A 26,150-nucleotide genomic window follows, 5' to 3' on the forward strand; every position below is an offset into this window, starting at 1 on the left:
TTTAAAAATATCACTAAAAGATAATTTTCACCAAGGATATTTTTTATATAGCATTCCCCAGGCTTTTGTGGGTGATCCAAATGACAGCATTTTAATCTCCTTATTTTATAAAACCACAACAGCCTGTCAGATTCAACACCCTGGATGTGTTTTGATGGCTGAGCCCACACAATGCTAAGAAAAGAAGCCCATGATTCATCAGCAATTGCTCTACTGGTGTGGGTACCCTGCACCTGCCTGCATGATGTTACACTGCTGGATGGCGGTGTGCTGCAGCCGGCTGGCCTCTTCCTGCAGCCGCAGAGCAGCATGACAGAGAGGTAAGCTGGCAACCACATCCTCGGGGATCCGGAGGGCACTCTGGCAGAGCTGCACTGCTTGCACCTTCGGCTTCAGTGACTCCATCTCAGACAACAAATGCTGAAAATGCAATTTCATAGTTCAAAAATTTAATATTTAAATCATTTATTTCATAAGCAAAAGGCACTAAATTATAGTTACGTTGCAAGTTATAAACATTTTGCAAAAAAAAAAAAATGTTTAAAACAGTGTTGAGTTTAGGGGCTGGACACAGTGGTTCACGTCTGTAACCCCAGCACTTTGAGAGGCTGAGGTGGGTGGACCACATGAGTTCAGGAGTTCGAGACCAGCCTGGCCAACATAGGGATACCCTGTCTCTATTTAAAAATAAATTAAAAAAAATAAAACAGTGTTGAGTTTAGGAGGCATTTTTCCTTACTATCCTCTTTTAAAAATATAGGTCCCTGTCCCTATTTACTCCAAGTTAGTTTGGCTTACCTGCCGATGAGAGAGCTGCTCCTTGAGACTGAGACGTCCAACTTCTGGAGAAGTCAGTGTTGCCTGGGCTTGCTCCAAGGCAGCTTGTAACTTTTTCAACTCTGCTTCAAATTTTTTCATATCCTAGAGAGTCAATATCAATGTATTGTACTTGAAGTTCAAAGCCATAGGGGAAGAATAACATCACAGTCAAGAAACCACATCACAGGTGAGCACTATTTCCATAGTGGCATTGCCATTTTCTTTCAATGATAGACATTTTTTTCTGTTTCTTTTTTTTTTCTTTTTTTACCTTAGCTGCATCTTGGAGGTTCTGCAAACGAATTTTGATCATCTGTCGCAACTCCTCAGTCTCCCGTCCCAGTTCTGCCACTTGCTGAGACATTTTTTCTGTACAGTACACGCTAGTGAGGTACTGTAATTTCTCAGTCATTGCTTCCAGCTCACTGTCAATTTCTTTGGATTCTTCTAGCAGGGTCTAGAGTGAATTGTCAATATTCATGACATTGACGGGCAGGTAGAGGGATATAGATATTCAATATAGCTTGGCATAAAATGCCCTGTGTAAGTTCTGTGTGTCCGTTATTGTGTTTAACCTTCACCCCCCATGACCACTTTCTACTTGGTAGCCACTTACTATTATAACTATTTCACAGAAAAAGAAATCACAGTTTAGGAACTGTAAACAATGTGCAGAGGTCACATGTCATACTACGTGTGGGACCATGAAGCTCCTGCTCGGTCAAGCCCAAGCTGCCCCCTCGTGAGAACAGGACATAGGAATTCTAGCAGTGAAAAACCCAAACATACTAGGTGTCTTATTTGTATCTCTGGGTCTCCATTTTCTCATATTTAAACTAAAGAATCACTTTTCAGCTCTCATATTCTATACGACTGAAGTTCATATTTGTCTAAGAAATGAAAATAAGAACAAGAGCATTACAAGCAAAAACCTTGGCTCACTTGCTTTAAGTGAGACAAAGGGGTAGAAGATACGTGCAATAACTATCAAGAGAAGCAAAAACATCCCTGATCATTCAGAGTGGTATCATCTACTGGGTCTATCAGAAATACAATGGATAAGTAACCATTCAATGTACAGTCTATGAAAAGTAGAACGAAAGAGAAGCCAGTGTGAAGAGATGACTGCAACTTGGGGAAGATTGGGAGAAGGTCTCCGGGAAGAATCACATCTGAGCCCAGTCAGAAGGACTTTTGGGATCTGACAGATGAGGGGGAAGAGGAAAGACATTTCAGACAGAGAGAACAGCATATGCATAGGTACAAAGATGCGTGAATCTAGAACACACAGTTAGTGGGGTGTGTAATGTGTAAAGAGGAGAAATGAGGAATAGGATATTATTCTTAGGCAATAGACTATTTATTTATTTCTTTTTTGAGACGGAGTCTCGCTCTTTCGCCCAGGCTGGAGTGCAGTGGCGCAATCTCAGCTCTCTGCAAGCTCCGCCTCCCGGGTTCACACCATTCTCCTGCCTCAGCCCCCCGAGCAGCTGGGACTACACGCACCCAGGTGCCCGCCACCACGCCTGGCTAATTTTTTGTATTTTTTAGCAGAGACGGGGTTTCATCGTGTTAGCCAGGATGGTCTCGATCTCCTGACCTCGTGATCCGCAGGCCTTGGCCTCCCAAAATGCTGGGATTACAGGCGTGAGCCACTGCGCACAGCCGGCGATAGACTTTTTTTAATGAAGTACTTTCTTTTCTCACAATAAATGTTTATAAATATATATTTAACAGATAAATATTTATCTGTATATGATATATGATATGTATTTATACAAGATATATTTATCTTTTTTTTTTTTTTTCTGAGACGGAGTTTTGCTCCTGTTGCCCAGGCTGGAGTGCAATGGCGTGATCTCGGCTCACTGCAACCTGCATCTCCTGGGTTCAAGCGATTCTCCTGCCTCAGCTTCCCGAGTAGCTGGGATTACAGGCATGAGCCGCCACGCCCAGCTAATTTTGTATTTTTAGTAGAGACGGGGTTTCTCCATGTTGGTCAGGCTGGTCTCAAACTCCTGACCTTGTGATCCGCCAGCCTCGGTCCCCCAAAGTGCTGGGATTACAGATGTGACTCACTGCACCCAGCCCCTATACAAGATATATTTATTTTTAACACATAAATATATATAGTAAGGATATATATATATAATCTGTTAAATATATATTTAATGTAAATGTATAATTTAAGTATATTTATTAATAATTTAATTATTTTAAATGATTTAAATATATATTTACTATATAAATATATCAAATAGAAAATATATGACTTGGAAAATATTGAAAATATAAAGAAGAAAACAAAATATCTCATCACTTTATAACCCAGAAATAACTTTAAGAGTTAACTGCTGATACATTTGGGCACATTTTTAGGTATTAATAATTGAGGTCATAACATGACTATAGTTTTCCATCTTTCTTTTTCACCCGACCTTAGCGTTACCGGAAAAAGGTCCCAATCCAGACCTCAAAAGCGGGTTCTTGAATCTTGTGCAAGAAATAATGTGGGGCAAATCCAGAGTAAAATGAAAGCAAGTTTATTAAGAAAGTAAAGGGATGAAAGAACGGCTACTCCATTGACAAAGCAGGGTGTCCCCAAAAGCAGGAAAAGAAATGCATCCACCTTAGGTACAATGTCTGCTTATATATAAGACAACAAAGCAAAAAATCACGGCGGAGATATGCTCTGCAAGGGCCTGTGACAAAAGATTGTTGATCTTTGTGTAACTGCTGTCTTCTATAAGAATCTATGTTAAAATTATTTTTTAAATATAGATCCAAGAATGCTTTTGTTCTTAAGATACCAGGATATCAGGACATTGCCTGAGTCTGTTATTTCCCAGATCTATTAAGGCCTGGGTATCTTCAGTTAGCATTATCAACCTGTCTAACCATAATTATTCTGTGACTAAGAATGCCTGACGTGGGAATGCTACCCAATAGGTGTCATCCTCATTTACCCAGCCCCTATTCAGGCCCCTACGAAGTCACTCTGGTTCTCACATCTCTGACATTAGAAAAAACACAATGGATTTTCTTTTCTTTTTTTTTTTTTTTTTGAAATGGAGTCTTGCTCTGTGGCCAGGCTGGAGTGCAATGGCGCGATCTAAGCTCACTGCAACGGCTGCCTCCCAGGTTCAAGCGATTCTCCTGCCTCAGCCATCCGAGCAGCTGGAATTACAGGCACTCCCAACCACGTCCAGCTAACTTTTGTATTTTTAGTAGAGAATGGGGTTTCACTATGTTGGCCAGGCTGGTCTCGAACTCTTGACCTCAAGTGATCCACCCCTCTTGGCCTCTCAAAGAACACAATGGCTTTTCTCACAGTGCACTCTTTTTAAATAAACACAGGCTGCTTTACTTCCTAAAGGGGGCACGTGAGAACTCACCAAAAGAGTCTACAGTCTGCGTTCTCTCTTCAGCTTCTGAGCCAGATCATCTCAGGACCTGGTGTCTTTTTCACTGTGCCCCATGATGCAGTCAACCCACCCTACTGCTCGAGTCATAGAAACCTGGGAATCATCCTTGACTCCTCCCTGTCTTTCATCGTTGACTCCTCCCTCTCTTTCACCCAATTCAGTCTCCAAATTGGAGAATTCCAGCTGCTTAGTATCTCTTGACTTTGTCTTCTCCTCCTAATCTCCAAAGAGAGGCCTTGTCATCTTCTACTGAAATACTGAAACCATCTTTTATATTGTCTTACTGTCCTCAATGTGTTTTCCAAAGGCTGCTAAATTTGCTTTCTGAAAATACAAGTCTGAACTTGTCCTTTGCAGGCAGAATATCAGTTTCAGAGGCTTCAGAGTGACTTCAGGATAAAGTCCAAATTCCCAACAGACTTTTAGGATCTTTTTCTTATCTCTCTATTCTTATCTCTTATCCCTTGTACCAGCACCAGAAAACACTCCTCACATTTACTGCTAGGATTTCAGCATACATTTTTATCTAAACACATTCCACAAGTAGGCTGTCATGTTTTTCAGGACTCAGCCCATCATCACCTTTTCCTGAGAAGCCTTTCTGCACTTTCCTCTTAAACCCCTGGTGGGCGGTTGGGTTGAGCACACTCCTGTGGGCTCCTTCAGCACCTGGGCCCTCTGTCTTTGCACAAATCACACTATATTGTACTGTTTCCTTCTATCTGTCCCCTCCCCTAAATAATCAACTCCCTGGGGTGGGGACAGGGAATATCCTTTGTACCCTAAATGCCTAACCAAAGTCCTAGTTTGGGAAAGGACTGTATGTTTGTTGAATAAATAAACAAACGCTTGTATTCCCAGAATTTGGGGATGCCAAGGCGAGTAGATCGCTTGAGGCCAGGAGTTTGAGACCAGTCTGGCCAGCATGGCGAAACCCCATCTCTACTAAAAATGCAACAATTAGCCAGGTGTGATGGCACGTGCCTGTAGTTCCAGCTATTCAGGAGGCTGAGGGACAAGATTCACTTGAACCTGCCCAGGCTGTAGCTCAGTGGCGTGATCTCGGCTCACTGCAATGATGACGAGGTTGCAGTGAGCTGAGATCACGCCACTGAGCTACAGCCTGGGCGATAGAGCGAAATGCTGTCTCAAAAAAGAAAAAAAAAGTCATGATAACCTTAAGGACTTCATTATATTTTATTATATGCAAATATTTACTTGGAAAAAAATTATTTCACATTTAAGTTTTCTTTAAACTTTCACTACAGTTATTAATACTGTGGAAAATATTTTCTATATTTTGGATTGTAGCCATAAAAAGGAGTCCAAAAGGAGCCAACAGGCCAGAGTAGTAACTTTTTTTTTTTTTTTTTTTTTTTTGAGATGGAGTCTCACTGTCACCCAGGCTGGAGTGCAGTGGCATGATCTTGGCTCACTGCAACCTCCACCTCCCGAGTTCAAGCGATTCTCCTGCCTCAGATTCCTGAGTAGCTGGGACTACAGGTGCCCACCACCATGCCCAGCTAACTTTTGTATTTTTAGTAGAGATGGGGTTTCACCATATTGGCCAAGCTGGTCTTGAACTCCTGACCTTGTGATCCACCCACCTCGGCCTCCCAAAGTGCTGGGATTACAGGTGTGAGCCACCGCACGTGGCCCAGAGTAGCAACATTTTTGACAATCACCATACATTTTGCCAATTATTTTTCAAAGAGATTTTACCAGGATACCAGCAATGTTTGAGAGCTCTCACTTCCTTAAATATGAACTTGAAAGAAACAGTATGAATGTGACAGTTAAGTTTGTCTTTCTTCCTCTCTTTTTTTGCTGAAATTTGCATTTCTAGACTTCTAAGGATGTTGGCTTTTTTTCATTGTTTTCAAATCAGTGGTAACTTAAGTCCTGTCTGTTCATATCTAAGCATATCTTAAAGCAAAAGATTGGAGTTGCTTAAGAAAGACATTGTGGGAAGAATACGCAAGATTGATCAGAGAAGAAAGACTGTGAATATAGGGAAAAATTAGAAGCTGTTAAAGCATTCCAAAAATGGAAAAATGAGGCTTTGATCTAGAACCCTGTAAACAAGAATGGAAACAGGGATTCATTTAAAGGCCACAAGGATACATAAATAATATAAGAGACAAAAATCTAGAATACTCGATACCCATGTAACTCCTATAAAAGTCACCCTATATTTTATTATATGATAACTAGCCTATTAACTATCTGTGTCTAATTTAAGCTTAAGTTACAAAAGGATGAAATAATTTCCTGGATGACGTGACTGACAGAAAAGGAACATTTTTCTCATGTAACTTCAGAGGAAATGAACTAACATAGCCAGCATGTGATGTGGACTCATGGCTTGCTCTGGGCTGCCCGACCTCCTGTGGAAGGCCAGATGACAGGCCTGGGTGAGGGCTGAGGGAGGAGGCGGGAGATCTCCCACTGAGCACCTGCATGTGCCAGGCAGACGTTTGCACGTGTGTACCTTAAACCACTTGATCTCATAAGTCTGAAATACGAATATTATTTACGTCTTCATACAAATGATGAGAAGACAGAATTCAGAGAGGCAAAGCATTCTGCTCCAAATCACACAGCCCTGCATGGCGGAGCTTGGTTTTCCCACCAGTCTGAGTGTGGAGTCTAGAATCTTTCCACACTTCATTGCATCTCTTCACAGGAAAGAATTTCCCACCAGATCCCTGCAGATAATTATTTCAAAGAAGCTACAGAAAATGAGTTCTACAAGGCTGATTGGTTTGGGTCTTGGTGTAAGGTAGGTTTAGGGAAGATCAAGGATATTTATTTATTCAATTTCATGAAATTTCATGAGAAGCTCCTTTCTGTCCAACTACTGAACAACTTAGGGGTACCTTAGCATTCTTTTTATCTGGTAGCTCCAAAAATTTTACATCACAGCCCTCTAAGTGTTGTGTCAGTCTACCCAGTTAAATCAAATTGCCCTTGGTTACTTTTTAAAGATTATTTTTCCTAAGGTTACCTGATGCAAAATATATTGTTCCCGAAGCTGGCTTGCAGAATTCCATGCAATAGTTCCATGAGCCAAGACTTTAGCTTTTTCAATCCACTTCAAAATTAATTCAAGCATTTCATTGTATTCTTCTAAATGTGATGCTGCCTGAAAAACCAGTAACATTAATGTAACAAATGTAAACTCCTCAGTTTCTTGAGCTATAAATCAGTCTTCTCTCTCTTTGGACACAACAGTCTTAGGGGTTGATCATTATAATACCTATGATATTCAATGGTATCAAAAGATCGTTTCCCTGTTAAAATCTGTCAAAGCTTTCTCAGTGACCTTAGGATAAAGCTCAAGTTCTTAATATGATTGAATTATTCCTCTTTTTCTTTCTTTTTTCTTTTTTCTTTTTTTTTTTTTTCCAAGGTCTTACTGTCACCCCGGCTGGAATGCAGCAGCTGGATCATGGTTAATTACAGCCTCAATCTTACGGGCTCAGCCTCCCACCTCAGCCTCCCACGTAGCTGGGACCACAGGCACGTGCCAACCATGCCCTGTTAAATTTTTGAATCTTTTGTAGGTTTCACCATGTTGCCCAGGCTGGTCTCAAACTCCTAGGCTCAAGTGATCCTTCTGCCTCAGCCTCCCAAAGTACTAGGATTATAGGTATGAGCCACCATGCCAGGCCTTCCTCTATCCCTTCCTTCACCCTCCCCTGGGTAAGGAGGTGGCAAGTGGGGATTCTAGCAGGCAAAGTTTCAAACTATAATTAATGGGTTACCAACTCCTGGTTTTAACTTGTCCCTGATTATATTAATCGATTTCAAAAGTCTAGTCTATATGCAACAATTATTACAGACGTGCAATCTGAATCTATTAAGTCAACGTAAGCTGATATATATGTAGCTTACTTAAAGGTACTTGAATTCACCCCAAACTGATTTCATAAAACACGTTAATGGGTGAATATTCATTCTACAAAATACTTCTCCATTTTACAAAATATTCACTCCAAAGTCCATTTGTAGGACCACCTTTGTCAGTGACTTTATCATATGGCTGGATATAAAGTAAGTGCTGGTTTATACCTAAGTCTTAGGATCACAAGTGTAGCATGAAATAAGCTACACCTAAACTACTCTCTCATTGTCCATTTTATCTTTTTATTTATGTTAATTTATTTTCAAAAGAGAAAAGCAGAACATGGAAGTTTCTGCCTTACACGATTTGGATTTCTGGCCCGGAACACATACCTGATTGAGCTTGGAGAGCCGATTCTCAGCTTGTCTAATGGTCTGCTGGTGAAGTTCAGTCAGTTTTCCTATCTTCTTGGCCAGTGGCTTACCCAGTTGGCCATTCTGTTCCAAGAATTTCTGTACTGCTGCATCTAATTCCATTAACTTTGAATTACAGCCATCTAATTCCTCTCCCAGCACCTTGATGGTCACCAAAATGAAAGAACATTAGAGTACAGAAAATAAATTTCTCCAGGTTTCCCGAGATCAGACTGATTTTTGTCAAAGCCAAATATTATAATGAATAATTCTACTATAATTCTACTATGATCAGGTCATTTTTGTTTCTTCGGTTGGAAAGGCAGGGCAGGATATGTTGTAATGCTGGTGTTTATTTCCTATGAGGCTGAGTGAGAAGGCTAACATTTTCCTTCTGCCCCACCCAAAAAGGATTAGAGTCCCTGAACTCATCAACAGAGGAAGAACACAGATTTAGCTACCAAGGACACAATTCAGTTTGGAATTTATATACTTGTATTCCTAAATCATCACTTAGTCCTTTGACGCTCTTCTTTCGTACACACTCATGCATGTATATTTATTAATACTGTTCAATTATAATGATCAATTATGTAAGAGGATCTGTGTTGCTTCAGTTACAAAATTTCTTTACCACCTGCTGTTACTATTTGGTTTTAAAAAAGGTTCCTAAAAGGTTTTTATCCTATATCCCCAAGTAAAACTGACTCCAAAAACTATTTAATTCATTCAGTAGTACCCTTTAAAATTCTACTTCTTACCTTTTGGTCAGTTTTAGCTTGAACTACATTATCTGTCTTCGCTTTCAGCTTAGTTAGAATAGTTGTGAGGTCTTTAGCTAACTTCTGAATTTGCCGGCTGAGTTCCTGGCTCGTGGCCTTGCTCTGCTCAACTTCTTTTATTTTGTCTTGGATCTAAAAAAATCAGTAAGAACAGCAAAACAAGCCATGGTTAAAAGTGAATAATAGATACTAAAAATCTCAAATGATGTTGACAAGACACATTTTAACTGCTTTGGCATTGAAACACCTGGTCACACCAGCGATGTGCGATTAGTTACAAGCCCTCCTGGCTTTCCCTGACTTCACTATCTTTAAGTATTTACTGCACTCCTTGTGTTCCAGCAAAGATACAAGCAATGTGTGTAGAGAAATTCACTTATTAAATATTTACAGAATACTCATTATAGATGGTTGTGTAGACAGCTGAGTTTGAATCCTATCTTCTCCATTAACTAACGTAATGACCTTGAGCACACAAACTCCTCTAAGCCTTTTTCTTCATAAGATGGAAAATCCTCCCAAACAGTTGGAAGCACACTGATTTGTTTCCAAGCACCTTTTAATAAATGACTCTTAATGATCTGTTAACTCTTTTTGTAACTTTCCGACTACAGCTCTATAGTATGCCAACCAAGCATTAAGTACATCCAATGGAAAGGAAGGTGAAAAAAGACAGTTCGCATTTACAAATTTCCAGTGACTTTGGTTTGATTTGATAACAAACATTCACACTGTTGCTTAGAATAAAATGCCGAAGAAAAGACATTAAAGAGAAGAAACATTTCTTTATGTAGTTAAAGGTCTTTAAAAAAACCTCTTTAGTAGGGAGAAAACACACCATTAAAAGAGAGTTAATGGTGTGTTTTGGCCTTCATTATTTTGAGTGTCAAAGTAAATGAAATACATATGAATAAGGCTATGATAGGAAAATTAATCCAGAGAAAAGCTTAAATTTTAACTAAAAAAACAAACAAACAAACAAAGAAAAACCATGGCTGTGCACAGAGGTGCACACCTGTAATCCCAGCACTTTGGGAGGCTGAGGCAGGCAGCTCACTTGAGGCCAGGAGTTTGAGACCAGGCTGGCCAACATGGCAAAACCTTGTCTCTTTTTACTAAAAATACAAAAAATTAGCCGGGTATGGTGGTGCATGCCTGGAATCCCAGCTACTTGGGAGGCTGAGGCACGAGAACTGCTTAAACCCAGGAGGTTGCAGTAAGCTGAGATTGTTTCACTGCACTCCAGCCTGGGGGACAGAGCGAGACTCTGTCTCAAAAATATAAAAAGACCATGAACTTGCCAAGTCATCCTTCCCAGTAGATCTTCCAATGTCTAAGAAGAAAAGCCAAATATATCAATTAAATACTTAAAATAGTAAAGAGCATTTATCAGTAGTTTAGGTCAAAGTCATGATGCAGTAGGATCAGATTTTGATGAGATTTTTAAAACACTTTGCATCATACATTGAAGATTCCAAAAGTAGAGCACAACTGTATGAGTTTTACAGTTTGTACAATGGGATATTACTTTCTATTTCATGTAGCAATTTAGAATTGTAGTATGTCTTCTCTTTGTCTCATATAGAAGGGTTTTCATTAAACTTTAATAGCTTTAGCATTAAGCCACCAAGAGAGTCCGAAAAATCTATTATATTTCCATACAGATGATATTTGAGCCTATTTTCACTACATGAAATTGTGCTCTTCATGAGACCAGAGACAGAAATCTCACTCTGGTCTCAACACCAAAAAGGACTATGCATTTCTTCTCAAAGAAACAAAAATATTTGTTTTTTAGAGTTATAGACAGGATTATGTTTCTATTTACTCTTTTCCTTGGGTGTTTAGAAGCTAGGGTTAAAATGATGGCTCTTCTCTAGCAACATTAGGGGACCCACCCGCATGCATTTTAGGAAATAACTTCATCCCTGCCTTGATCTTATTTTTATTTCTTTGATTTTTCCCTTTCCTCCAACATCTTCACCTACTTAACTGACATTTTGTTGCACTGCTGAAATAAAATAACAGCTGGAAGAGTCCCTGGCACACTCTGGGCATTCACTAAATATTTGTTGAACACATGAAACATATCTTACTTTTTGTTTCTTTAAGTCTTTTTTTAAAGGTGAGGGGAAGCACAAAAATTATCTTTAATTGTATGGCATTATTGGTCATATCTATGATCATCTTGCCTATGAAAAAGACTTCTAATTTAATATTATTGTTTTATAGCCATCTATTTTTTTTAACTCTGTCTCCAAGAAGACATTATTGTGAAAATCAAGAACTCTCACACAAGAGGACTGACCCTATAAACAAAATGGAAAGACACTCTTTCTTGATCATAGGTTTACCTGATCTCGGATCTTTAGATCTAACGCCACTTCAGCCAACTGAAGGGAGAGTTCAGAAGGTAATATGGTATAAAGACCTAAGTACTTCTCCTTCTGTTCTTCTGCCATTTTTTCAATGTTCTGTCGGTGATTTGTGGCTTCTGTTAGGAGAATCTGAAGAAAAGATCAAAATAAGAAATTTCTGGGAACCTTCTAAGGGGACTGTTATAGACAAGGCTGTATATTTTTCATCAACATATAATTAAGTGTGGAATTAGAAAAATATCTTAATACAACATTGTTCTTTTGTCTCTGAATATAAAGTATGTTCACTTTAAAAAACAAAGGAAAATCCCATGAAGTAATACTAAATATCTTTTATATAACACACTTCTGAAATTTTTTAATTCAATATTCAATAAATACAAACAAGTATGTTCAACTAAAATCAGGGCAATTGTTTTTGAAATGATGGGTAAAGAGAATGAGGAGACTTTTTTGTACCTGAAGTTCTTCAAGTTGAGCATCTATTTCTATTGTTGGATTCCCTAAATATTCTTTCGTTTCCTGAACCCAACATTTCACAGAATTGATCTGAGTCTCCACCATTTCTCGGTCCTTCAGCTCTTGCTTCACCAACTTTCCATTAGTCTTCACTTTCTCCTGCATGCTTCAGAAACATTACAGGGATAAAACAGAAGTGAAGTGAAAGGAACCCCCTAATACTTGGCAACATTTTATCCAATACATATATAGAAATGGGAAACCTAGTATCTTTTTTGAAAGAAAAGACACTTCCTCAACACTGTTAAATAACACTGCAGTTCATGTATAAATGTCATATAAAGTAAATAATTTATCCTTGAAAAACTGAGAGTTGACTGTCTCACATGCCACTAAATTGCAATCAATTTCCTATTTAAAGTAGCCTGGAGATTATTTCATTATTTACTTCCTCTTTGGAAATCTCCTAAAATGGTACATTTAAAAGTAATGTGTAATTGGAATATATATAGCTATCTAATAGAAAGTAGTCTTTAAAGAAAAAAATCAAGCTTTGGAAATGTCATAATTAATCACGTTAATAATGTACAAATTTCAAGTCTTTATTTGAATTAATGTAAATTTGGTAAGAAGATTTTAAAAAGTGTTAGGTTACCTTGACATCACCTATAAGGGAAAGAGGTGAAATGCAAGGACATGAATGAGGTAATATTTGTAAATGTAGAAATTAAATTATCAATGAATATTTTTTTCTCTGGCCCAAGAAGTGAGTCAGGGCTGGTTATACATCAGGATTAACTTGCTCTTTCTACTAAATTCACTGCTAGTCGATGGCTATTATTTACCTGGACTGCGCTCCTATATCCCTGTCACCCCAGATGGCCAATGAGTTCTCAAGCTTCATCAAATCTAAGTTCTTAATAGCTCTCAATGGTTTCCATCTCATGCTTCATTTCTCTTGAATCACCCTTCCCCTCCCCGCATCACCCAAGGAGCTCCTTGAAAGTGACACGTTTATTCCTTTCTTACATGTCATTTCCCTGTTTGCAAAACTCAATGCCTAGCTCCAGCCCGCTCAGGCTTCTGCTTCAATTCCCCTTCTGAAGGGATGCCTTCTTTGACCCCTCTCCTCGGCTGCTTGTCTCTGCTTCGGATTCCCTCAGCTCCCTTTTCACACTTGACTACAAAGGCTGCCTTAGTTGCCTAGCTCTCTGCGGCTTGACTGTAAACGGCATGAAGGTAGACACTGAGTCTGTATGGTTCACCATCGTATCTCTAAGTACTATCAGATATGTATTTGTCAGACAAACGATTGAAGAGTTAAGGAAACGGAAAAGCAAGAGTGATGGGAACGGATCCCCACATTTTCAAGGTGGTGTGAAGGAGCACCTTCATACTTCATAACCTACTTATCCCAAGGCCAAGTTCAGTAACAGAATGAAAGTAGGGGCCGGGCGCGGTGGCTCACGCTTGTAATCCCAGCACTCTGGGAGGCCGAGGCGGGCGGATCACGAGGTCAGGAGATCAAGACCACGGTGAAACCCCGTCTCTACTAAAAATACAAAAAATTAGCCGGGCGTGGTGGCGGGCGCCTGTAGTCCCAGCTACTCAGAGAGGCTGAGGCAGGAGAATGGCGTGAACCCGGGAGGCGGAGCTTGCAGTGAGCCGAGATCACACATTTGCACTCCAGCCTGGGCGACAGAGCGAGACTCCAAACAAACAAACAAACAAAAGAATGAAAGTAGGTGCTTAATTACTTCAGGCACCGATCTTGCATGGCGGTGATTTCCTGCATGAGCGGAGGCTCTTCCCCAGGGGTTGGGGCGGCTCCATCCTGGAGCATGCTCAGGGTTTGCTGCCGCAGCATGCCCAAGGCCGACTGCTGCTGCTCCAGCTCCAGAACGAACGTGTCGTGGTATTCAAGAAGAGTTAAGAGCTCTGCTTTCGATGCTTTCTCTGCTGAACTTCCAGGTAACTTATCTTGCAGCTGATCAATCATTTCAGTGGCCTTTTTAACCTGATGACAAATGTACATACTATGAAGTTCAATAATAAATAAACTGAAAAAAATAGGGTAACTCCCATAAAAGCCACACACTAGTGTATGAAGCCAATTAAAGATGATGATATAAATTCCACATGTTAGGAAACTGGAACCTGAGCAACCTTCTTAACATGAAAGGAGATATCACCTCTATACCTCTGGGTTTAAAGCTTTAATCTCAAAATAATATTAGGACAATCAGAGACTATACTTAATACAGAAAAAGCTTTAAAAAAAAACTAAGCAAACAAAATACTCTTTCCAATATTTAAGTTAACATAAATGAGTGCCTTTAAATCATAAAGGAAAATAATGGCTTAAAACATTAAACCTTTAAAGATGGAAAAAGCTGCCAGGCATGTGGTGGCTCGTGCCTGTAATCCCAGCACTTTCGGAGGCCGAGACAGGCAGATCACCTGAGGTCAGGAGCTTGAGACAAGCCTGACAAACATGGAGAAACCCCGTCTCTACTAAAAATACAAAAATTAACCAGGTGTGGTGGCGGGTGCCTGTAATCCCAGCTACTCATGAGGGTGAGGCAGGAGAATTGCTTGAACCCAGGGGGTGGAGGTTGCAGTGAGCTGAGATCACACCACTGCACTCTAGCCTGGGCGACAGAGCAAGACTCCAAAAAGGAAAAAGTTGAATATACAATTTGGGTAATGAGTCAAATTTCTGCTCATTTTCAGGTTTCATGGTAAAGAAAAAGTATCTCATTCTTTTTCAAGGCCGTTAAGAAAGCAAATGGGCCGGGCGCGGTGGCTCACGCCTGTAATCCCAGCACTTGGCGGGGGCTGAGGCGGGCGGATCACGAGGTCAGGAGATTGAGAACATCCTGGCTAACGAGGTGAAACCTCGTCTCTAATAAAAATACAAAAAATTGGCCAGGCGTGGTGGCGGGCGCCTGTAGTCCCAGCTACTCGCTACTCGGGAGGCTGAGGCAGGAGAATGGCGTGAACCCGGGAGGCGGAGCTTGCAGTGAGCCGAGATGGCGCCACTGCACTCCAGCCTGGGCGACAGAGGGAGACTCCGTCAAAAAAAAGAAAGAAAGCAAATGGGGCAAAATGGGCTTGTTCTCCTTTCACAATTTAATTGCTTGGTTTTTCTCATTGAAATAATTTGACTGTGACTTGGGACTAAACTGCACATTGCATTTTGTACTTTGTTTCATAACTTAATTTTTATGTCACTGAAACAGATTTTAAAAAGCCTTTATTACTTTCATAAGGCTGACTTCAAAAAGGGGCAAAATACTGTGTTTCAAAATACATTATAATTAGTGAGGAAAGAAAGGTGAGCCCATGGACAGTGGAAACTACCTTGTTGTTAAAGCCCGTCCACTCATCCACTGCATCTTCCAGGATCTTCTCCTGGTCCTGGGCCACAGCTCGAAGGCGTGTCCAGCGCTGCCAGACGGTGGTCATTGACCTGCTCAGGGTGGCTTTGCTGGCATCATTTCCGGTTTTCTCCAGTTGTGAAGCTTTTTCCTCAAGGGCCACAATTTTCTCATGGAAAGAGTTAACCACTGACACTAAAGCCTAGGGTTGGGGGTGGAGGACGGAAGAGAGGAGACAAGGGAGAGATCAATTTAATTTTATAAAGTTCTATGGATCTTGGTAAAGCCCAAAATTCCTGCAAAAGGAAATGTTTCTACATACGTTTATTCTCCTCTAGGTACTCTTACTTTTATGTTTATTTTTTAACCAGAGTGAGTCTTAAAGCTTTTTAAAGAGGTAAGGTGAATATTATTTATTTATTAAAAACAAAAGTGTATTTTGCTACTTGAGATGACATTTTTTTCATTTTTAAAAAGCAGCACAAATGCAAGTGAACCAAATGCAATATTTTAGTATGTTACATTTTTTCCTTATATTGCTCTGATAAAGGGAGACTCAGTTATTAACGTTTTAGTTTTATTTAATCTGTTATCAACAAAAAGTATTCACTGACATTTATTAAGTGCCACATCTTATCGGAAGCAAATTGCTCTGAACATCTTAGCTATGCATTTCCAATGGGAATCCTAAAAGGTAATAGCATTTAATAAACTTAAAACTTCTATAAAATGTTGTTAAATGCATCCTTATCACATTGAAAAAAGTCCAGGTAGAAATGAAGATTTATTGATCATGTTGCAAAGACTCATTATAATTATAGAAAAAGGATTTTTTTTAAATGGCCCAAAACTCTGACCTTGTGTTCTGACAATTTTTCTTCCGCTTCATGACTAGACGAAGTCTTCAACAAAGAAAACTCAGACAATTTCTTTTCTGTATCATTCATCAATTCAATAACCTCTTCCCTTGCTTTCTGGTAATCGTGCCATTGAGCTGTGCATCTTGAAAGAGTCCAACAGAAACTGATAAGTAGCACGAAATCACGTATTTCTACACGAAGCTCTGGTGTCAGTATGTCTAATGATACTCAGGGAAAAATGAATTTACGTGCTAATGTATATCATTCGTGTATTACTACTTTCAGTGTGGAAATTCATTTCACTAAAACATAAAACACAAAACATCCTGAAATACCTCTGCAAGAGATCCACTTGGGCACCAGAGTCCCGGCTCATCCTCTGGCTCCTGAGTTCCAGAGAAGCCACTTTCTGTTCTAGGTCTTCTTTGCCGGTTGGCTTGATGAGTGGGTCCAGGGTGGCTACCAGGCTGTGGAGCTCCTCCAGGTTACTATGGAACTGATCCTCTGTACTGAAAAATTCCATGTGGCTTTTGAGATTTTCCTCTGCGCTCTCCACGTCTAGGCCATTGCCTGCCAGCTGTAACAATTCTTGGGCATCCTCAAGCCAGTCATTGGCTGCTTGAAATACCTGATAATACCTTTGACACTGGCTATATATTTCAGTCAAGGTAGCCTGAAAAACAGCAATTGCAAACATAATCAACTCTCCTTTGCAATGTGTTTGCAGGAAAGAGTTTTATTCACTCATTTGTTTTCCAGTCCTTAGTCTCATGGGCGTATGTGTGTAAGTGCATTGATAAGTTAGTGGAATATTTTTGTGGTGCCATCATCATTATCCTTGATTTTTCCTTCTGCTATTCTTGTTATAATTTTATTACTGCCATTAAATTAAATAATAAGGACAGAAATGGGATAGAAATTTATGTCAGTATCTTGACTAGTTCTGAAACTTCCCTCTCTAAGAAATAATATGATGCTTAGTAATATGTGGCAGACTGGATGTTTATCAAAGTGCAGTAATGTCTCCGTTGGTTAGAAGTATAACAACACGGCCAGGCGTGCTGGCTCATGACTGTAATCTCAGCACTTTGGGAGGCTGAGGGAGGCAGATCACTTGAGGCCAGGAGTTTGAGACCAGCCTGGCTAACATGGTGAAACCGTGTCTCTACTAAAAATACGAAAATTAGCTGAGTGTGGTGGCACATGCCTGTAACAGCTACTTGGGAGGTTGAGGCACAAGAATTGCTTGAACCTGAGAGGCAGAGGTTGCAGTGAGCTGAGATCGTTTCACTGCACCCCAGACTCTGTCTCTCAAAAAACAAACAAACAAACAAACATGGAAAGGAAAAGAAAAGAAAAAAAAAAGAAATATAGCAACATCAAACTTCCAAACTGGCATTTACCAGACCACAGAGCCACAGAGTAATTTCTGGAAGCGAAATAGTAACCTGTGAGTCTTGTATACAGACTAAAATAGAAAAGTTGAAAAGTTTAAGTCTGGATGGCTGGTCCATTCAATTCCAGAAGGAAAAGAAACACTCTAACCAGCCATCAATGACTAGACAAGATAAGCCGCAACTGTGCAAGCGAAGATGCATAGAAAAGGTAGAGAAAGTACCCATAAGATGAGCACCAATTAGGGAAAGAACAGGGACAGCAAAGCATAGAATCAGCGGAGGGAATAAGAAATGCCCCAGGAACCATGACCTTTAGTTATTTGGACCAAGATAATCAATAAGACAAGATGGCACAAGCAGAGACATCTTAGTAGATTTAAGAGTTTGGTTCAAAACTCACCAAAAGAAGCAAGCTTACCTGACAAATGTTTTTCAAGAATGAAAATTTCTGCTAACTTCTGTTCTTACTCTACATTCTAGATTCTATATCTCTATTTATACTAATAGCGCTAGAAAAATAGTTTAAAATTTGTATAAGCAATAGCCTTGAATCAACATGAAAAGGTTAAAGTGTACTAGTTTTTAGTTTAAAAAGTCAGAATTTTAAGAAGTTTATTATGATTTTATCCAATATTAAAATTTTTACTATTTAAAGTGTTAACCTTAACCTCTGCAGAAAATATAGTTAAATGAGAGCTAAGATTCATCTGAGGTTACTTCGTGTCAGACCCAATGCTAAGAAGATAAACCTAATAAAAGAATCATTAATATCTCTCTTCTACAAAGAGGGACAGAGCCTTATAGGATGTCATTTTCCTGAGATCAAATAGCTGCCATTAAAACTCAGATGTGCCCTCCTCCCAGGCTATAGCTGCTGTATTATCCTGACGAAAGCTATCCTTTACCTAAAGGGTTGGTTGACATCTCCTAGAATCACAGGGACTAAAGACAGACATGGAGAAAATGGGCCAAGAAGTTAAAGGAAGTAATCCTCTAGGCACTATTTTTCTCTTCTTATTTTATTTTATTTATTTATTTATTTATTTATTTATTTATTTATTTATTTAGACAGAGTTTCACTCTTGTTGCCTAGGCTGGAGTGCAATGTCATGATCTCGGCTCACTGCAACCTCTGCCTCCTGGGTTTAAGCGATTTTACTGCCTCAGCCTCCCAAATAGTTAGGATTACAGGTATGCACCACCAAACCCAGCTAATTTTTTTTTTTTTGTATTTAGTAGAGACAGGGTTTCACCATGTTGGTCAGGCTGGTGTCAAACTCCTGACCTCAGGTGATCCACCCACCTCACCCTCCCAAAGTGCTGGGATTAAAGGCGTGAGCCACCGCGCCCAGCCCTCTTCTTATTTTTGAATGCACAGAACTTGCAAGCCCCAGAGCAAGCTGCAATTAGGCCAATCTGGGAAGTTTTGTACATGCTCCCATTTCTTTTTGTTATCCCCAAGTCAAGTAATTACGAGTATTCTAGTCTTTCTTCTGCTGTGCTACAGGGAAGCAGGAGAAGGACAGCACTCATCCCCACAGAGGGGGTGAAGAGATGGGGCAACTAATGGGATACCCCACAAAAATGTGGCTTATTGGCAAGGTCAGGGCTGCATTGTCTGCCTCTCTCCATTTAGACTCTTCATCTAGCAGGTGATTTTAGAAATACCAGCCTTCACATTGTTTACAAAGGGCATCACTAATTATTCATGGTTAATCAGTTGTACTATCCATGTACTAATATATAATATTAATTATGTTACTAATACCATTTATCATCTCTTTTAAGGTGAGAAATCACTGAGGCATCACTGTTATAAGCAAAGTGAAGTCAAGATGGAAACCACACAAAATGAATATCATGCACATAAACAATTAAAATCACCTGGCCAGGCACGGTGGCTCCCGCCTATAATTCCAGCACTTTGGGAGGCCAAGGCAGGCAGATCGTTTGACGTCAGGAGTTTGAGACCGGCTTGGCCAACATAATGAAACCCTGTCTCTACTAAAAAATACAAAAATTAGCTGGATGTGATGGCGGGTGCCTGTAATCCCAGCTACTCGGGAGGCTGAGGCACAAGAATCACTTGAACCCAGGAGGCGGAGGTTGCAGTAAGCCGAGATTGCACCACTGCACTCCAGCCTGGGCAACAGAGCGAGACTTCGTCTCAAAAAAACCCAAAAAACAAAACAAAACAAAACAAAACGAAAAACAATTAAAATAACCATTTAAGTCACTGCTGAAGATGCTTCTGTGTAGTATTTCGAAAGAAATATTTAAAGAAGCAATTATAACCAAGCAAACGAATTTCTTGTACCTGTTTACAAATAAGCAGAGTGGAAAAAAGAGAAGTGAAGTCCTATTATACCCACCTGTCTGGTGCGTAAGGCTTCCTGGATGTCTCCATCCAGCTCTGAGAGCTCAGCGAGGCTGTGTTCTAAATCCGCAGAAATCAGCTCCTTGGCCTTTGTGAACTTCTCCTTTTCCTTGTGACTCAGCGCATTCATGATTCTCAAGCTGGACTGGACCTCTTCCTGATGAATTTGGATTTTTCTGATTTCCTCTTGGATGTCCTGCAGGTTGAGGTCTAGGTACACCGGCCCACTGAGCTCTGCCTTCACTCTCCTCAGCCAGTCCAGGGAGCGACTCATCTCAGTCTGGAAGTCTATACTCTGCACCATTCGGCTCTCACATTCTGTCACCGTCTCACCAATGGCAGAAGTCAACAGTTTTAACTCCCCTTGCCAGGACTGGATCTGATGCCTGGCTTTCTCATAAGCCAAGGGGTCAAGGTGTGGGGCAAGATCTTCAAGATGTATGGTTACTCGTTTCAGTACAATCCCTGAGTCCTGGAGACTTCCTGCCAGGGAGTGATACATTTTGAGCTTCTCCTCTGCAGGCAGCGTTTCCTCATTCACTTTGGACTGCTCCTCTTTTACAGACTTCAGTTGTCTCTCCAGCTGTTGGCACATCTTCTCGTGTTCTTGGTAAGCACTGGTGGTGTCTTCTAATAAGCTAACCCTCTGTTCTGTTTGTCGCTTCAGCCTGTGATATAAGGTGACAAGGTGCAGCATCTTGTCTGGCTGCCAAGGCTGACCTGTGCTGCGAAAACCTTCTTTTTTCTGGTTCAGTTCATCCACCGCCTCCCCAAGGCCCGCCACCTCGTCCAGAATGGCTCTGCAACCATCTTGCAGAGAAAGAGCCTCCTCAACGGCCAGGTCGGTGGGAACTTTGCTCATCCTCAAGAATTGGGCTTCAAGTTCACTCAGAGACTGGGTTGTCAACTCAATCAAGGAAGCATATTCCTTCCGAGCAAGAATTGCTTCCTGGACTTTATAGAACTTGTCTTTAGCCAAGGCAACAATTACATTAAATTGTCGAGGCAAAGCATTTAGCTTTTCACTGAGGTAGGAATGATCGACTTCATTCAGCGATGGTAATATGGTCTGCCCAGTTCTCTGCAGCGTAAGTAGAAGATTTTCATATTCTGGAGATTGTTCAAGAATGTTTTGGTATTTAGCCAGTTGTGTATGAAGCTCAGAACTCTCATTCATTAGGTTGATTTCAGGAAATGTAACAATATCTGCTTGTTTTAGCCAGTGGCAAGCTTTATCAAAATCTTCCTTAAAATGCTTCCTAGAAACCAAATTCTTCTCTAGTTCTTGTAACCGGTGACTGCACTTTTGTAAAACACTGTCATAGACACTCTGCAATTCCTGAAGCTTCCCCAGCACTTCACTCTTTTCCTGCTCTGTGACTTCCTTCATTAGTTCGCGACCCTGGGCCCAAAGTCCAGTGACTTCATTTTGGTAAGTCTTGAGGCTGGCTTGTGCACTCTTACATGTTTTGACTTGTTTGCTCACATCATCTGGTAACAGACAGATGTGTTCACGGAACATTATCTTTCGCTCATGTTGCTGAATTTGGCTGGTGGCCTGGAACACTGCCATGAGAAACTGGGTTTTCTCGGACAAGGCTTTGTTTAAGTACTTTCTTCGCTGGCCCACTAAGTCACTGAGACAATTCACGTGGCTTTGTGCATCAGAGAGAGCCTTCTGGATGACCTGTCGCTCATTGAGACCAAGATCTGCCATGACCCTGTCTGCGTCCTTTATAAGCGATTTCAGGAGCATCTGCTTGGCCTCCAGTTCACTGCAGATGGCCAGGTGATCCATGAGAAGGTTCTGAGCCATATCTGGAGGAGGGCTCTGCTTAAGGGCCTCGGCGATGTTGGGTTGTTGCTCTTCTGCCCACTCCATTAGCTCCTGAAATCTGGACTGCACCACATTTAACTCCTCCAAGTTGGTGACTGACACTTGGATTTTCCTTTTAATGAGGTCCTCAAGCTGAAACCAACGTTGCTCTAAATGACTCGTCTGTTCTTTGACTAACTCCTTGTCATCTAAATTCAGATGCTCTATCATTTTCTGCTTTTGATCTTTCAGATCTTCAATAGCATACTTTCTCTCCTGCAATGCCAATGCTAACTTTTTCAAAGCTTCCAGGTGGACAGCTGTACTCTCTGCATCAGATCTGAAAATACATGGAAAGGTATAAGAGCAAATTAGCTGTAGTCAATATCGATGTTTGTTCATACTATGCTAAATTACACTTCACCATTTTCTTTTTGGAGACTGAGTTTTGCTCTTGTTTCCCAGGCTGGAGTGCAATGAATGCTCTGATCTCAGCTCACGGCAACCTCCGCCTCCCAGGTTCAAGCGATTCTCCTGCCTCAGCCTCCCAAGTAGCTGAGATTACAGGCATGTGCCACCATGCTCGGCTAATTTTCTATTTTTAGTAGAGACAGGGTTTCACCATGTTGGTCAGGCTGGTCTCTAACTCCTGACCTCAGGTGATCCACCTGCCTCAGCCTCCCAAAGTGCTAGGATTACAGGCATGAGCCACTACTCCTGGCTGACACTTCACCATTTCTTTAAGTGGATCTTCTGAGCTTAGAACAATTGAGAGTAGTTCAATTCATGGTTTGTTGACAGAAGTGCTATAATTATGGAATACAAGTCTCATCAGAAGTCAATACTAGAAGTTGAATCAAACCAAGTTGCCTACTTCTTTCTGGCTGATAATGCCTTCCAATCAAATCAGAATATGCTTTTATCTTCCTCTGGCTCTTATCAACTGAGCAGAATCTATATGGTAACAGGATCCTTGGATGTTTTGTGTAATGTTAAACAGTGAGAAGCACTGATCTAGTGTACTCTAGAAAATGATACTGAAAGAAATTAATAAGTGATGCATGATTTATGTGCTTTCTTTTGTGAAGAGGGTCCAACAAACAATATAGTTCTAGGTAGTACAATCTGTAAGGTATAACCAACAGATCTAATGGCTACTTAATTGTGTACTTGGATATTTTTTGCTTATCATTAGTAATCTTTAGTAATAAGTGTGAAATGTAAAGAATTCTCATCCCTTTGACTATGAAGCACACATAAAAAATGGAATATTGTAGTCTTTTTTACTAAATGATCAGTTCTGAAGTATGAAAAGCAGGGTTGGGAGGCAGTATGAGGAGTTCTGTTTTGGACCTGTTAAGTCTCAGGTGTCTGTGGGGCCTACTGTGAGCCAGAAATATGAGTTGTTAATATTTACTGGACTAATCCCAAAGACGAGTAAATGTTAAGTATCAAAGAAAAGCAAACAAACCAGAAAATGGTATACCAAAAAAACCCCAAATCCCCACTATGATTTCATGATATCTAGAACAATATTTGCAGTTTTCTTTGCTGTAAACTAGTAAATCGGTGCAGAAGAAGTGTAGATTTTAACAATTATAGTGATCAAAAGTATGGAATGGTTTCATATAATGATCCAGTATGTGTGTGTGTGTTCTTATTTTTCAAAGAAGAAAGCTAAGAGGGGTTCAATAACTACAAAATCACAAAAGACACAAATTAACTGAATTTCTAGACTCTTGTAAGAAAAAAACCTGACTGAATTACACAGAATGCATTCATTACCTTATAGACTTGATAAGAAACTAGGGAGCATATAGGTTCAAGAAGGATTCATTTCATGAATTCATAGATGATATCCCATAACTTGTAATTAAACAAAATTAGAAATATTTTTAGAATATTCTTTGAGGTCACAGAGAAAATGGTACCATTTTCAAACATTTCTCTTTTACCCACTGGTTAAATCAATATCGAGCTAGGAAAACCATGACTCTATATCCATTTGAAAACGTTAGGTTCATAATGATGTTCTACTTACCAATATTAATAATAATAAACAATAGATGTTATACCTAAGACATTTTATTTTATTTTTTTGAGACAGGGTCTTGCTCTGTCACCCAGGCTGGAGTACAGTGGTGCAATCTTGGCTCACTGCAGCCTCCTCCTCCCAGGTTCAATTGATTCTCCTGCCTCAGCCTCCGAAGTAGCTGGGATTACAAGCATGCACCACCACGCCCGGCTAATTTTTGTATTTTTAGTAGAGATGAGGTTTCACCATGTTGTCCAGGCTGGTCTCGAACTCCTGACCTCAACTAATCCACCCGCCTCAGCCTCCTAAAGTGCTGGGATTACAGGCATCAGCCACTGCACCTGGGCACATTTTAAATTTTTATAGATATTAAGAAATGTCTGGCTTAGCATTTTGGTGACCCATGGGAGAATTTCTGTTACCTGGCCAAGTTATCCCATTCTGTAGTAAATTTTTCTAGGAACACTTCAACAACATTCATACAGTCATGGTAATCTCTTGTTCTCTGAAGATCCTCTTCCCTTTGCAAGCACAGGTTGTTAGACTGACGGCACAAATCGAGCCACTGATCATTTAAATGATTTATTTCCTTGTGTTCAGGCGATTCCTCCTTCTTTGTTAACTTATTCACCTTTTCTATTATGGTGTTCACGGATGCCTGTTTGCTCTGTAGTTTCTTAACAAAATCCTAAAGGATAACAGCAACAAAAAATATGTAATGTGTTAAGAAATGCCCAAATAAATATAGAGAGCAACACAGACATAAGACCTTTAAACACTCTAAGTTCCTTAATATGAAAAAAACTGAAGAATGTATAATAAGTTATGGGAAACAAAGAGAAAATCTAAAAATCACCATACCTCTTTATGAACGTTAATTCCCACGTGTGCAAGATTCAGGGTAGCTGTGGTATATTCTTTTATTGTACTATTCCAAGAGGCATAAAGAAAAACTAATACATGTGAAACATTACAGTCATTAATGAAAAAAGTCATTATCTTACCTTGAAGTGCGGCCTTTGTTTTCTAAGAATTTTTAAGGAGTTCATGTTTTTCAAAATTTATTCTTAAACTAAGGGTGCTTTTATTCTCAAGACATCAGGACATTAGGACATTTCCTAGGTCTGCTAAGTCCTGGATCTGTCAAGTTCTGGATCTGTTCAGTAAACATTATTAACCTGTTCCCTTAACTAAATATCCTGTGACTAAGAATGCCTAACTTTCTGGGAATGCAGCCCAGCAGGTCTCAGCCTCATTTTACCCAGCCCCTATTCAAGATGGAGTCGCTCTGGTTTGAACGCCTCTGACGGAAACCTTCCAAATGTCAGAGACAAGGCAAAGTAGCTTGGGTCACCAGGTGGGCAGTGGTGTTATGTACAGAGTTGGGGAAGGCTGGAGTACATTCGCAAAGTGGAAAGGCAATGGTTTAGATTCATCTACTCCCTGCATACACAGCAAAAAGAAACCTCTAAGATACCATCTCTGCCAGCCCAATATGTGGCCAGAGGATCATTTCTTTGGATAGTGTTTCCTCCAAGGGGTTGGTTCATGGACTTCCATACTTCCCCACTGCTCACTCCCATTGCCATTTACTCCCACTACCCAAAAAACACCTCTTAAATCCCCTGACTGATATATGAAATTTTGTCCTTAAAGCTAGGTTCAATCACAATTAAAATGTTAACAAGAGTATCATCTTGAATGTTTTTATTATGTGTATATCTAAAACAAATACAGCAAAATATTGGCATTGTTTATTATCTCTGAATGGTAGTATCATAAGTGATTGTGATTTAAATTTGCTTATTAAGACATTTCTGTATTTTCTAAGCCTTTTATAATAAACAAAACTTTTCTTATAAAATACATTTTAAAAAATTAAATTTCTAGGATGGTTCACAAATTTTTTTAAAAAAGAGTTCATGCTTCTGAGAAAAAATAAATCTTATTATCCCGATCCCTATTCTCTTTTTTCTCTGTACTTGCAAACAGCACTCCAGTAGACAATATATTATTATTGACTCATAATCACAGAGAAAAAACATCTTTAAGTTTATTTAAAATCTGACCCAACTTCCAATTAAGTTAATACACTTATAATTTTCTTTTTTCCCTTTTTTTTGAGACAGAGTCTCACTCTGTGGCCCAGGCTGGAGTGCAGT

General features: G+C 40.0%; 1 protein-coding gene across 49 annotated transcripts in view, besides 1 other annotated feature; it reads right to left on the reverse strand.

Annotated features, from left to right (window-relative positions):
• Positions 1-26,150, reverse strand: part of SYNE1 (spectrin repeat containing nuclear envelope protein 1) — a 515,676-nt gene that overhangs the window by 187,911 nt on the left and 301,615 nt on the right. For all 49 annotated transcript variants that reach the window (XM_047418508.1, XM_017010610.2, XM_017010609.2 and 46 more), the window contains 14 exons: positions 24,411-24,676; positions 20,133-22,293; positions 16,699-17,036; positions 16,361-16,505; positions 15,487-15,705; positions 13,881-14,140; positions 12,124-12,289; positions 11,641-11,793; positions 9,266-9,418; positions 8,484-8,666; positions 7,252-7,389; positions 1,091-1,276; positions 799-921; positions 238-420 (listed from right to left, as the gene is read on the reverse strand). In XM_047418508.1, the coding sequence (XP_047274464.1) occupies positions 238-420; positions 799-921; positions 1,091-1,276; positions 7,252-7,389; positions 8,484-8,666; positions 9,266-9,418; positions 11,641-11,793; positions 12,124-12,289; positions 13,881-14,140; positions 15,487-15,705; positions 16,361-16,505; positions 16,699-17,036; positions 20,133-22,293; positions 24,411-24,676 (4,674 nt within the window). The remainder of the gene's footprint in view (positions 1-237; positions 421-798; positions 922-1,090; positions 1,277-7,251; positions 7,390-8,483; positions 8,667-9,265; positions 9,419-11,640; positions 11,794-12,123; positions 12,290-13,880; positions 14,141-15,486; positions 15,706-16,360; positions 16,506-16,698; positions 17,037-20,132; positions 22,294-24,410; positions 24,677-26,150) is intronic.
• Positions 43-1,242: an enhancer, noted in NCBI's record as "BRD4-independent group 4 enhancer chr6:152630775-152631974 (GRCh37/hg19 assembly coordinates)". NCBI's record gives its function as "activates an origin of replication core promoter dependent on BRD2, P300/CBP, MED14 and CDK7 cofactors, and independent of BRD4, by STARR-seq in HCT116 cells {active_cell/tissue: HCT116}" and the evidence as "EXISTENCE:reporter gene assay evidence [ECO:0000049][PMID:35650434]".

The sequence above is a fragment of the Homo sapiens genome, chromosome 6 (genome assembly GCF_000001405.40).
Source record: "Homo sapiens chromosome 6, GRCh38.p14 Primary Assembly".
Taxonomy (NCBI): domain Eukaryota; kingdom Metazoa; phylum Chordata; class Mammalia; order Primates; family Hominidae; genus Homo; species Homo sapiens.